The following is a 14,564-nucleotide window of genomic DNA, read 5'->3' as shown; positions in this document are numbered from 1 at the left end:
TTATTCCAACAGTTCCATTTTGCACATTTAATAATTTCCATTGGTTTGCCAGGGAGAACATTCTCGTGTCATGGCTAAATCCTTTTGTATGGCCATCCTTAATTATTCCCCTAAGATAAACTTTTAAATAAAGTTGCTAGATGAGTCTCATTTCTTAAAAAGTTCTTTTTTGGTAGTTTATATGTAACACTGTAGTTTTATATGTACTTGCAAATAGCTATAGTGCCAGTAAAAAATGTGATAAAATTAAACTCTTTCACGTATGCCAAATATATTTTGATTTAGTGCTTCATTAAGTGCATGATTACAGTCTCTATATCTTTTGATTTACCTTTCTATCTTTACAATTTTCAGCCCAGATACTTAGAGGTCACATAGTAAATTAAGGTTTTCTTTTTATAATAATCCCCATCTTTCTAAATTTGGTGAGTCACAGTAAGTTATTTTTTGGTTGTTGAAAGCTGTGGCTCTGTTCTAAATTTGAGCCCAGAAATCATGCCACTTACAAAATATGCTTTGTCTTCCAACATCAGAGTGTGTGGTAGAAGGTGACTGTTCTTGGAATTTAAAAAATCTAAACAGGACAAGACAAGAATATGGAAAATATTTCTGTTTCTGATAATATGGCTGAGTAGGTACTCTGCAAAGCCTCTGTCATAAAATAGACATTCTGGATGGTCCTTGCAAAGACATATTTGATCTTGCCAAAAAAAAAAAAAAATCCAGAATCTCTAAGAATGAAGATGAAGTGAAAATCAGAAGGGCTACTATGAGAATAATGGGGAAGCAGCCCCAGTTATCAAGGGATGTTTGCATGTGTTCAATAAAAAGTTTCAAACCTAAAAAAAGTTAAGAAAAATAATATAACTGCCCTACATACATACATCATCAACAATTTTTCATTCATGGCATGGCCAGTTTTTGTTTTGTTTTTTTTTTTAAAGGTGGGCTTTTGCTGTGGTTGCCCAGGCTGGAGTGCAGTGGCATGATCTTGACTTACTGAAACTTCTGCCTCCCAGGTTCAAGCAATTCTCCTGCCTCAGCCTCCTGAGTAGCTGGGATTACAGGCACCCGTCACAACATCCGGCTAATTTTTGTATTTTTAGTAGAGATGGGGTGTCACCACGTTGGCCAGGCTGGTCTTGAACTCCTGACATCAGGTGATTTGCCTGCCTCGGCCTCCCAAAGTGCTGGGATTACAGGCGTGAGCCACCGCACCTGGCCACATCCTGTTTTGTTCCATTTGTATTCCCACTTCATTTATATACATTCCTTCTTCCTCTGAATTATTTTTAAGTAAAACCTATATATCATATCATTTTTAAAATTACCTTATATGTATCTGTAGAAGACAAGGAATTTTTAAAAATAAATATACTCATAACGCCATTAAATATCAAAAAATTAATACATTCTGAAAATAGCCACAAATCCAGAGTTCACATTTTCTTGACTTTCTCATAAGTGATTTTTTCTAGGTTATCTATTTCAATCAGATACCTGTTTGCTCATATTTACATTCCTAACTGAACAATGTCTGAAGAGGTACTTAAACCTGACATAAAACGCAAATGAGCTTATGACCAAATGCTTAGTGCAAGAAAAAACTTCACACTGCAAGATGAGTCCCTCCAAATACAGAAAGGACCAGTATTTTAAGAGGTATGTTAACTACAATGTTGCAGTGTATGGAGCAGAGCAGGAAGAACCTTTAAGTCTGAAAAGTACAAGTAAATTTCAGTTTCCCTGGTCCTTCCACAACAACCTCTGGCATCTGTTTTTTCTACAATGGAGGTAACAGTAGCTCTTTCAGAGCAGGAAAAGGCTTAGAGCAGTGCTAGAAGAGGGTGGTGGCTATATAAAGTGTAGCTATTTGTATATTGTAACAAACCAACTTTTTTTTTTTTTTTTAAGTCAATAGTAGATTTCTTTTGGAAAAATAGCAGCCTCCTGTCTGGGGACACCTGCAGTTCCACTAAGTGAACATTGGTGTCTGCTCACCTTTGCCTCTATTTCTCTCAATAATATACTCTTAAGCTGTTCCCTGATTTAGCAATTTTATATACTTTCTTTTTCTTTATTTTTTTTTCCTTTCCCTTTTCCTGAGACACTGTCCCGCTCTGTCGCCCAGTCTGGACTGCAGCAGCGCCAACATGGCTCACTGCCACCTCCACCCCCTGGCTCAAGCAATCCTCCTACATCAGCCTTCAGAGTAGCTGGGACTGCCCGCCGGGCCCACCAGGCCAGGCTAATCTTTATGGTTTTTGTTTTGTTTTTCTGTTAAGAGACCTGGTGTCAGGTCAGGCGCAGTGACTCACGCCTGCAATCCCAGCACCCCAGAAGGTGGAGTCCGGCAGATCACCTGAGGTGAGGAGCTGGAGACCAGCCTGACCAACATGGAGAAACCCAGTCTCTACCAAAAAAATAAAAAAATAAAAAACTAACTTGGCATGGTGGCTCACGCCTGCAATCCCAGCCACTCAGGAGGCTAAGGCAGGAGGACCACCCAAACCCGGGAGGTGGAGGCCACGGGGAGCTGAGACCGGGCCACTGCACTCCAGCCTGGGCAACAAGAGCGAAACTCTGCCTCAAAAAAAAAAAAAAAAGACCGGTTTCACCACGTTGCCCAGGCCGGTCTGGATCTCCTAGGCTCAATCGATCCTCAGTGCTCGGCCGTCCAAAGTCCCAGCTGGGATCACCAGCGTGAGCCACCACGCCAGGCCAATCTGTTCCTTTCTGATTAATAAATTGGGCCGGTCACAGTGGCTTATGCCTGGAATCGCACCACCCCGAGAGGCCGAGGCGGGTGGATAACCTGCAGTCGGGAGTTTGAGACCAGCCTGACCAATGTGGAGAATACTCGTCTATACTAAAAAAAAAAAAACAAAAAATACAAAGTTAGCAGGCATGGTGGTTCACACCTGCAATTCCAGCCACTCGGGAGGCTGAGGCAGGAGAACCACCCAAACCCAGGAGGCGGAGGCCCAGTGAGCTGAGTCCACGCCACTGCACTCCAGCCTGGGCAACAAGAGCGTAACTCCACCTCAAAAAAAAAAAAACAAAACAAAAACAAAAAACAAAGCGACCGGGTTTCACCGTGTTGCCCAGGCTGGTCTGGAACTCCTAGGCTCAAGCGATCTGCCGCTCTCGGCCGTCCAAATTCCTGGGATCACAAGCATGAGCCACCACTCCAGGCCAATCTATTCCTTTCTAATTAATAAATTGGGCCAGGAACGGTGACTCAAGCCTGCAATCCCAGCACCCAGGGAGGCCGAGGCGGGCGGATCACCTGAGGTCGGGAGTCTGAGATCAGCCTGACAAACATGAAGAAACCCCGTCTCTACCAAAAAAAAAAAAAAAAAAAAGCCGGGCATAGTGGCTCACACCTGCAATCCCAGCCACTTGGGAAGCTGAGGCAGGAGAACCAACCAAACCCGGAGAGGGAGGCCACAGGCAGCCGAGACCACGCCACTGCACTCCAGCCAGTCAGCAAGAGCGAAATTCTGTCTCAAAAAAAAAAAAAAAAAAAAAAAAAGAGAACAAGTTTCATCATGTTGCCCAGGCCAGTCTGGAACTCCTAGTCTCAAGTGATCCCCCGCGCTCAGCCCTACAAAGTCCTGGGATCAATCGTGAGCCACCACGCCAGGCCGATCAGTTCCTTTATGATTAATAAATTGGGACTTGCGCAGTGGCTCACGCCTGAAATCCCAGCACCCCTAGAGGCCGAGGCGGGCAGATAACCTGAGGTCGGGAGTTTGAGACCAGCCTGACCAACATGGAGAAACCCCATCTCCACCAAAAAAAAAAAAAAAAAAAAAAAAAAAAAAGAGCCGAGCATGATGGCTCACGCCTGCAATCCCAGCCACTAGGGAGGCTGTGGCAGGAGAACCACCCAAACCGGGGAGGCAGAGGCCCGGCGAGCTGAGTCCACACCACTGCACTCCAGCCTGGGCAACAAGAGCGGAACTCCGCCTCAAAAAAAAACAAAAACAAAAAACAAAAAAAGTGACCCGGTTTCACCATGTTGCCCAGGCTGGTCTGGAACTCCTAGGCTCAAGGGATCCAACACGCTCGGCTGTCCAAATTCTTGGGATCACAAGCGTGAGCCACCACACCAGGCCGATCTATTCTTTTCTGATTAAGAAATTGGGCTGGGTGCGGTGGCTCACACCTGCAATCCCAGCACCCTGGTGGCTCATGCTTACAATCCTGAAGCAGGATTTTTAAGGAATTAGAGAGACTGATGGGGTTTAGGAGGTTATTAATTAATTATTTACGTGCATTGACCCAGTCGGATTAACATTTAAAGCACTGAGTTCTGAACAAGACTTACCTTTTAAGCATTTTATGGGGTGGGGGTAGATCTGTGCAGGGTGAAGCATATGATAGAAGTGAGAAACAAAGATAATTGTTCAATTGAATCATGCATTATATTATTTTTTCCTTTTTTAGGAAAAATATGTTTTGTAACTTGAGTTTGTTTAGTGACCTTGCAGTTGTACAGTTAGGGAATTAGGGTTTTTATAATGCCCGGGAAGGGAGGAGAGATAAGGCTCACTGCCATAGAAAAACAGGAGGTAGTAGTTTTTTTTGAAGGACTCTAGCTCTTCTCTTTCTCAGGGGGAATTGGGTTTTTTTACATACAACTGAGTTTTTGTTTACACATTTTTAAATTTCTTTTAATTCCTGTTCCCATCCCAGCACCCTGAGAGGACGAGGCAGGCAGATAACCTGAGGTCGGGAGTTTGAGACCAGCCCCACGAACATGAAGCCCCATCTCCACCAAAAAAAATAAATAAATAAATTAGCCGGGCATGGTGGCTCAGCCTGCAATCCCAGCCACTCGGGAGGCTGAGGCAGGAATATTTTCTCCCTCCCTTAGATAAAAGATAGCATATACCATTGTGCACTTTGTTTTTTGACCTGGGGTGGGGTCTCACTCTGTCACTGAGGCTGGAGTACAGTGGGGTGATCTTGGCTCACTGAAACCTCTGCCTCCTAGACTCAAGCTGTCTTCCCACCCCAGCCTCCAGGGTAGCTGGAACCACAGGTGTGTGCCACCACACCCGGCTATTTTTTTTGTATTTTTGGTAGTGACTGGGTTTTGCCATGCTGCCCAGGCTGATATCGGGCTCAGGCGATCCACCTGCCTCAGCCTCCCAGAGTGTTTTCAAAGTGCTGGGAATTACAGGTGTGAGCCACTGCATCCGGCCCATTTTGCACCTTTTTAAACTTCTCTTAGAGATCACTTCATATCTGTTTATAGAAATGTTCTTCATCTTTTTTAAAATTAGTACTTTGTAGTGTGGATGTACCACTTTTTTATTCAGTTAGGTTTTTTTTTGACATTTGAGTGTTAGGTCTTTTTTTCTGACATTATAAGACTAAAATATGAAAAGAAAAACTAGAAAAAATTTCAAAGAAAATTTACCTGTCTTTGTGATCTTGTTGTAGGGAAACTTTTTGTAATGGTTAGTATCCAGGATATGAAAAATAGCCTAATAATGAAAAGAAAAACTTAAGACAAAATGGGCATAGGATGTGAAGAGTTACTTTATAGAGGAAGAAACTGGAATGGTCAGTAAACATGGGAAAAGATACTTGAACTAGAAACTCATGGATAAATTGAAAGTTAAAATGACTATTCTGTCATCTTCAGATTGGCGAAAATGTAAGTCTGACAGAATTGCTGGCAGAGATATGGGCCAGTGGAAACTCAGCTAGGTAAAGTGGAGTGCAATTTTATAATCTCTAATGAAGTTGAAGATGCACATACCTGAGCAAAAAAACACATGTGTACAAAGAAATTTGGAAAACCTGTTTATCACGGTAGTATTTGCAGTAACATAAGATGATGCAGAATGTAAGTTAACCAACAAGAGATTGGATAAACTCATATCCATGTGGTGGAATATTATACAGCAATTAAACATGAACATACTAGATTGAAAAGAATTAACATGGGTAAATCTCATGAAGAAAACTTTGGGTGAAAAAGGCAAGCTGCAGAAGGATATGGGCAATATAATAACATATGTGAGTAGTTCATTTCCATATTTATGTTGTTTCAAAGGAGTTATCGGCCAGGCACGAAGGCTCACACCTGTAATCCTGGCACTTTGGGAGGCTGAGGTGTATCGGGCAAAATTCACCCCCGATATTTCACATAGTTTCTTTTCTATTTTCCCTAAGTGTTGGCCGGTCTGAGAAATAAAGGAACAGAGTACAAAAGAGAAATTTTAAAGCTGGGTGTCTGGGGGAGACGTCACATGTTGGCAGGTTCCGTGATGCCCCCTGAGCCATAAAACCAGCAAGTTTTTATTAGCAATTTTCAAAAGGGGAGGGAGTGTACGAATAGGGTGTGGGTCACAGAGATCACATGCTTCACAAGGTAATAGAATATCACAAGGCAAGTGGAGGCAGGGCGAGATCACAAGACCACAGGACCGGGGCAAAATTAAAATTGCTAATGAAGTTTCAGACACGCATTGTCATTGATAACATCTTATCAGGAAACAGGGTTTGAGAGCAGACAACTGGTCTGACCAAAATTTATTAGGCAGGAATTTCCTCGTCCTAATAAGACTGGGAGCGCTATGGGAGACCGGGGCTTATTTCATCCCTCTGCTGTGACTGTAAAAGACAGCCGTCCCCAAAGTGGCCATTTCAGAGGCCTCCCCTCAGGGATACATTCTCTTTCTCAGGGATGTTCCTTGCTGAGAAAAAGAACTCAACGATATTTCTCCCATTTGCTTTTCAAAGAAGAGAAATATGGCTCTGTTCCGCCCGGCTCACCGGCAGTCAGAGTTTAAGATTATCTCTCTTGTTCCCTGAACATTGCTGTTATCCTGTTGTTTTTTCAAGGTGCCCAGATTTCATATTGTTCAAACACACATGTTCTACAAACAATTTGTGCAGTTAACGCAATCATCACAGGGTCCTGAGGCGACATACATCCTACTCAGCTTATGAAGATGACGGGATTAAGAGATTAAAGACAGGCATAGGAAATCACAAGGGTATTGATTGGGGAAGTGATAAGTGTCCATGAAATCTTCACAATTTATGTTCAGAGACTGCAGTAAAGACAGGCGTAAGAAATTATAAAAGTATTAATTTGGGGAACTAATGAATCTCCATGAAATCTTCACAATTTATGTTCTTCTGCCATGGCTTCAGCTGGTCCCTCCGTTTGGGGTCCCTGACTTCCTGCAACAGAGGTGGGTGGATCACCTGAGGTCAGGAGTTTGAGACCAGCCTGGCCAACATGGTGAAACCTCATTTTGGGGTGTGGTGGTGCATGCCTGTAATCCCAGCTACTCGGTAGGCTGAGGCAGGATAATCACTCGAACCGGGGAGGCGGAGGTTGCAGTGAGCCCAGATTGCAACACTATACTCCAGCCTGGGTGACAGAGCAAGACTCCATTACCAAAAAAAAAAAAAAAAAAAAAAAAAAAAAAAATCTCTTAGTTTCTGATGGTTTTCCTGACCATATATGTGATGCCAAAGTTGCTTTTTTGTTGTCACATCTATTGGCATCAAGTGCTGAACTTTTCATGGAGTGGCAATTTTTTGGTAATAAAGCAACTTTCAAAATGAGTCTAAGTTTATCTCTGGAAAAGTTTGAAAGAATCAGTGAAGGTTCTTTTAGACAGTACCCATGTTCTACAGATCAGCCATTCTCTGTCTCTCAAATTTTCAGTAAACCTTTCCACATAGGATGTCAGCACGATTTTAATACATTAAATATATGTAAAATAAGGCAAATTAAGACACAACTCCATCAACTCTCATCTGCTCTGGGCTTATTTCTCTTCATAGTACATAACACCATCTACGTCATATGCTTATTGTCTGTTTCTATTAGAGCAGGGTATTTTTGTTAGTGCTGTTAGTGTGCTCAGCATATACAGCAACACTTGGCAGACAGTAGGTGCTGAATGAAAGAATGAAGAAGAACAGAACTTATTTTACTAAAGACATTTTGATATCACTTTTGGGATAGGATACTATACATTAAAGATGATACACTGTTTATTCCAGAATGGTCTTAGCTACAGTGTTCACAGCACAGTATTTGTAGACTTAATGCTGTTATCCATTCTACCTTCCTTTGAGGTTGGCATGAGAGTTGCCCGTCAGCGTATGTGTGCTCTTAGAAATCAGGGACAATACTATCATTTTAAGCTTCTTGGCAGTGACGTGTACTTAACTAGATGGTGAACTCATAGGTGGATGGGGAGTATCTAATGCTTTTGTATTCTGCTTTTCAGCAAATAAATATTACCGTACTGTGTGTGTAACATGAGCTATATAAGTGTGTGATGATTAAATTAGAAGATAGGGTTCTCTGCAATCCAGTTTTCCAAGATAAATTTTTGCCTTGTTTTTCTTAGGTAATAAAGGTACCATATTGACTGTTGATATATGCCTACTTAGTCATGCTTCTCTTGCAGTAATCTTATCAAATTACCAGCTTTTTACTTTTTTAGAGAGACAGTCCTAGAATTGAGAATCCTCCTTTGCCTACATTCAAAATGAGACTATATTATGTGGGTAGGAAATTTCTGGTGACCTACTTTTAATTTTTAAATTTAAAAAAATATTAGCATAGTTTTATATTTAGAAAACAGTTGCAAAGGTGGTATAGAGAGTTTCTGTGTACCACACAGGCACCCAGTTTCCCTTGTTGCTAACATCTTACATGATTATGGTATATTTGTCACAACTAACAAATCAGTATTGATATATTATAACTAAACTGCATACTTTTAGGGGTAGTGACCCAGTTTTAAAGCTTATTTCCCACAATTTGTTAAAAATGACAATCAGTATTGAGTGCCCATGGGTGGTGGCTTCCTGATTCTTCAAAGAAACTGAGTAATTTTGTAACCATTGGGACTTATCAGGAAATAAGGAACTCATAATAATGTGCGCTTAAATTTCCAGTGGAGGAATTGTACAGCTTAACATACGGTTTTGTAAGTTGGGTATTAACACATAAAGAGGCTGGGTGGGGTTTGATCACTATTAAAACTGATTTGTTTTGTTCCCTGGAAAATATGTTACTACCACATGGTCTACCCTTCATAGATAATCGAACCTAAGATCACTGGGCAGAAAAGGGTTGCCCTGTAGTAGGAAATGTGTCCTCCTGGGACTGAGTTGAGATTTAGTTTAGCACACAGAATAAGTAGCCAATGGCTGCTATGAGTCTGACTTCTATAATTCAAATTGGTATAAATTAAATCTAATTCTTTTCCCCAGGACTGCCCAATTTAAGATTAAGTTTTATACTGGCGCTTATTAGAGATATGGCCATTTTGCCATTTCAGTGGAACCTTTTAATCAGCTTTAATGCTGTCTTAGGTAAAGTAAAAACTTAATCTAAGGGCTTTTCTAGTTTGCCATCCTCAAAGCAGAAAAAGCAGCAATGAAGCAGCACTGCCTCATATAGACTCTGCTTTTATTAAATTTGCTTCAATAATCCTCTTCCAGTCATCTTTTGTGCTGCATATTTGAACCATAAAATAAGCAAAAATTGTACCCAAATGAAAATTTCAAGTTATTTTAATGAAGCTCTGGAAACATCCCACAGCTCAGAAGATGTTTTTTCCTAGTTTATTTTTTAAATTCTGGAAAGTAGGTCAGTAGACATACCCTGCTTTAATTGGTTTAATTAGAAGTGAAAAATTATAGGACTAACTCAATTTGAAGTATAGATTTCAATAAGAATTATACTGGGATGAATATTATTTAAGGTTTTGAATTTAAGATGCATTTAATCAATGCTTATAATTTCCTCTTGAAAAGATTTATATTGCAAAAAGGAACACTAAGTGTTGGAATATGTCAATATATAGGGAAAAACTTTGCCATGAAATAGAATATTTGATAAAATCATTTTAGAATTGTATCTCTAAATGGTATGCCTAAGAATATTGTTCTATAGGACCTTAATAGATATGCCTCGGGGGAAAAAAGTATTGTGTGCTCAAGTGAGTTTGAGATATACTGCATTAAATATAAGAAGTTGCCTGCAGGACTTCTCAGAGTCTTTAACACTTTCTGAATTTCTGAGACAAGATATATAGAGGGTACAGTACTTTGCAAACCTATTTATCCCTATACCACCTAGTAACATTTTTCAGGAAAATGTTTTGAGAACACGAATTTGACCTGTTTTAGGAATTTATACCTTTGACAATGTTGAGGACCTTGTCTTTTCCTATTATAATGATGATGTGATATTCACATATATTACTTTTTCCCAATTCTTTAAGATATTTTTCCAATGTATTATATTCAACCCTCTGCTCAGTGCCTTCCTTCTGCTAACTAAAGTGATGGTTTCCGTCTGTTGCTACACATCAGACATACTTGGCCCTGACCCTGGAGATTCTGTATGAACAGAAATGCCAGAATACCTGCTCAGGATTCTGTATTTATTACAAACACCCAGGTGATTCTGATGCAGCCAACACTGGTCCTCCAACTGATGCTTTGGAATTGTTGAACTAAAAGCATGCCTTTTTTTCTAGATGGATGAGTAGATTGGGGCATAGTTTGTGGTCCTAGAACACATGGGTTAACCATCCCTCCTAGTGAGAATGATAGCACAGGCCTCTGATGACCCCACGAGGTGCTGTGCTGGCTATAACCTAACATGAAACGATCATTATTCCTTAAGAAAAGCAGAATATGTCTAAATGGGCTTTTAGTCACCTTCCTAATAATGAAGTACCATATATATGACTACCATTTGTTTTAATTTCAAGTAATTCCCTTGTAGATGATGTTTTATTTATTCTTTTTTTTTTTTGAGACAGAGTCTCGCTCTTTCGCCCAGGCTGGAGTGCAGTGGCGCGATCTCGGCTCACTGCAAGCTCCACCTCCTGGGTTCACGCCGTTCTCCTGCCTCAGCCTCCTGAGTAGCTGGGACTACAGGCGCCCGCCACCGCGCCCAGCTAATTTTTTGTATTTTTAGTAGAGACGGGGTTTCACCGTGTTAGCCAGGATGGTCTCGATCTCCTGACCTCGTGATCCGCCCGCCTTGGCCTCCCAAAGTGCTGGGATTACAGGTGTGAGCCACCGTGCCCGGCCTATTCTTTAAAAAGAATATTAGATTATATTTTCTAAATGTGCCAAGTATCTAAGAATATATTCTTTCACCTCCTGCTGATAAGAGTTATACATTTAACCTTAAGCAAATCTGCCAAGATTCTATGTCATTTATGCTTTGATTTATGTGAGTATTAATGTAGTTTCTGTGACTATTGTATGGTTATATATACCCTCCACCTAGTAAAACAGTTCCATATTCCTGGAAATGGTCTTTTACATCCTACAAGTGTAGCTGGAAAGGAATAATATAAATACTAATGGTTTGAGAGACAACTAGTCTTGACATGTCTTGGTTGAATAGTGTTCTATAAGCAACAATATATGAAATACTAGACATACCCATTAAAAGTAGAAAATACCCACTACTGTTTTAAAATTATTCTGCAAGATCTCATCAATGCAATGAGACATAAAACAGAAATAATGGGTGTAATTATTGAAAATTGGAGATAAAATTTTTATTACTTGTAAACAAAATTCTGTCAAAAACCTGACAAATTAAACAATACAATTAATATGTTTAATAGAACTAATTACATATGAGAGGCATCCAAAATCCATTTTTTCTATACAAACATGGTTTGATATACAGTCATTTTATCTGTATATTAATTGGTTTATGAAATAACAAATAGAAAAATCAAGTATGCATTATCAAGTTAAAGAAGCAGGAGAGATGGAGCTATAAAAACAGAGAAAAGAATGTTGTAAGGAGGGCTTAACGACCAGGATAAATGTTGTAGAGAGATCAATTAAAGTGATGGCCTAGAGATCACGGGCTTCCTTTGGCAGAGCCATGTTGGTGAAGTGAAGGAAGTGGAAGCCAGACCACAATGGTTGAAGAATGAATGTAATGTAAGAGCCAAGACATTTATTTGAGTCTGATAGTAATGAAAAAGGACGAGAATTTTCTTCTTGCTGTTGTTTTTGTCATTTCATGTTCAAAACCCTTTATCTCCCATGTGGGACTGAAAACTCCAAGATGGGATCTCTGTTTCTGTGAGGCCTGTAGTGCTTAGTACATCCTTGAATGTGTGAGGCTCTCATTGGTATAAGTTTAATTCCTGACTGTGGATGAAATCTTTAAAACTTTGCGGGCAAAATACAGAATGAATTTCAGTGAGTTCCCATGTATTAAACAAGGTGGCACTGGCTGGAGACATGCTGTCCCTGTGCCCACAGGAGTAGCAGTGCTGTGCTCATCTTCCTGACCCGCTCTTCACAGTCTTCACCGCCTTTCTTCAGGAGTCTCCCCTTTGGCTTTTCCACAGCTATGAAACCCACGTAGTCGGACACCCTAATGCTTCTCCTGCAGGGCGTGTGATGAGGAGGTGAGCTTGGCTTTGGAGTGCTGGGAACCTGAGGAATTGCCAAGGACCCAGAGCCCAGCCCTGACCACCCAGGGAGCCCAAAACACAATGAACAAATTGAATTTCCACAACAACAGAGTCATGCAAGACCACCGCAGCGTGTGCCTTTTCCTTCCCAATGAGAATCTCTGAACATCATCATAAATGTGAGTAGATCTCAATATAATTCTGATAGCTGGAGGATAGTGTATTTTCAGGTTTGCTGCAGGAAAAAAACTGGACTTTAAATAATTAAGACAAAATGATTGTATTAATTGACTTCTATTCTTAATCACTAATTTCATTTTTTATATTTCCCTTGACTTTTGGGGGAGAAATAGTCTTTGTCTCAAAAGTGGGCTTCAGTGACCTATGGGTTTGATAAAGCAACCAGAGATAATGAGACAAGGATATTTAATGGCAACATGCCAGCAATTATTATTAGTTAATTGAAAGCGTTTATGATTTTGGCCTGGGGCCAATGCTTTCCCCTTCTGCTGGACTAACATGTGGGTAAGGGAGAGGAAAAGCTTTGTTTCACTTTTTAAATAAAAGTATTACGTAACTTTGAAATTTGTATAAAATTAAAAGATAGTAAAAACAACTATTCTAACAGAATTCAAAACCTGTTATGCTTCAGTGGAGAGATTATTCAAGATAAGTCCGTGGGAAATTGGGAGTACATTTCTACTGGCAAAGTTAGTGATAACTATGCACTTCTGACAAAATGTGAAATGAGGGGTATGGGCGTGCCATATCATCATGGTGCAGATACGTGGATGTGTGCTTCCAAACAATGGCAACCTAACTGACTGCTGGAACCATACAAAATACCTGAAACTACTCAGAAAGAAGGTGAAAATTGCATGCAAAAATTATTTGAAAAATATTGAGCTAACACATGAATTTTGAATTATAAGTGAGGTATTGTAACTCACCTACAGATGTGTTTTTTGTAATCAATATTCATGGACTCAGACTACACAGTAAAAGCTTACATAGAAATCATTCTATCTAAACTTTCTGGATACGAAAGTAACCTAGTATGCGTTTTGCTACTATATCTTTATATGAATTTAAATCACATTTCCAAGTGGCTTACAGTAATCAAGGTTGTCACAAGGAAGATGCAAATTAAAACCACATTGCAATATCACTGCACACCCACTAGTACGGTTTAAAAGAAAAAAAAAACAGAAAATATCAAGTATTGGTGACAATGTGGAGCAAACAGAACTCTTTTTCAATAATGGCAGGTATGTAAAGTGGCACAAACACTTTGGAAACCTGTTTGGCATTATACTGTACTAAACCTGAACACACGCATTGTTTATGACCCAGGAATGCCCCTCCTGGGAACCAACAACAACGCATATATGTGTTGCATATGTTCACCAAAAGACATTTACAAGAATGTTCATAGCAGCACTATTTGAAATCACCCCCAAGTAGAAAATGCACAAATATTTAACAGTAGTTGGATAAAGTGTGGTACGTTTATGCAATATAATACCATATAGAAATGAGAGTGAGGGATCTGCAAACTAATATGCAACTGTACAAATGAATCCCACAAATATAATGTTGGGTGGCAGAAGCCAGATGCAAATGAATACATGCTGTAGATTTCATTCTTTTACATTAAAAAAGCTAGTCACACAAAGTTATGCTGTTAGAAGAGAGTGATTTGGTCGGGCGCAGGGGTAGTTACAGGAAGGGAGTACACGGAGATTTCTGGTTGTTAGTTATGTTCAGTGTCAATCTAGGTGCTAAACAGGTACAATAAAGATTTTAGAATTCATCAATTTGCACACTTATGATAGATGCACTTTCCTGTATGTATATTTCAATAAAATCTTTTAAAAAGTAAAATGACAAAAAGACACTATTAACAAAAATGACATATTATATTAACTGTTATACTAAGGAAAATATAAAAATGAGTTCTATAACAGGGGCTCTGCAGGTCATGTGGTCATGCCAAGGACCATATGTGCTCAAGATTCTCATGACATTTTGGAAGGAGGTTGGGCTTTCTTTATCTTTCCTTTCTTCTCTCCCTTCCCTTCCCTTCCCTTCCCTTCCCTATTT

General features: G+C 39.9%; 1 pseudogene across 1 annotated transcript in view; it reads right to left on the bottom strand.

Annotated features, from left to right (window-relative positions):
• Positions 1 to 11,560: 11,560 nt before the first annotated feature.
• The window catches only part of HERC2P9 (HERC2 pseudogene 9), a 30,823-nt pseudogene continuing 27,819 nt past the window's right edge, over positions 11,561 to 14,564 (bottom strand). The window contains exon 14 of the transcript NR_036443.1: positions 11,561 to 12,696. The product of NR_036443.1 is annotated as an HERC2 pseudogene 9 (transcript). The remainder of the gene's footprint in view (positions 12,697 to 14,564) is intronic.

This window comes from Homo sapiens, chromosome 15, assembly GCF_000001405.40.
Source record: "Homo sapiens chromosome 15, GRCh38.p14 Primary Assembly".
NCBI lineage: Eukaryota > Metazoa > Chordata > Mammalia > Primates > Hominidae > Homo > Homo sapiens.
Note: the sequence above shows the minus strand (reverse complement) of the source record. Positions and strands in the feature narration are given on the sequence as shown.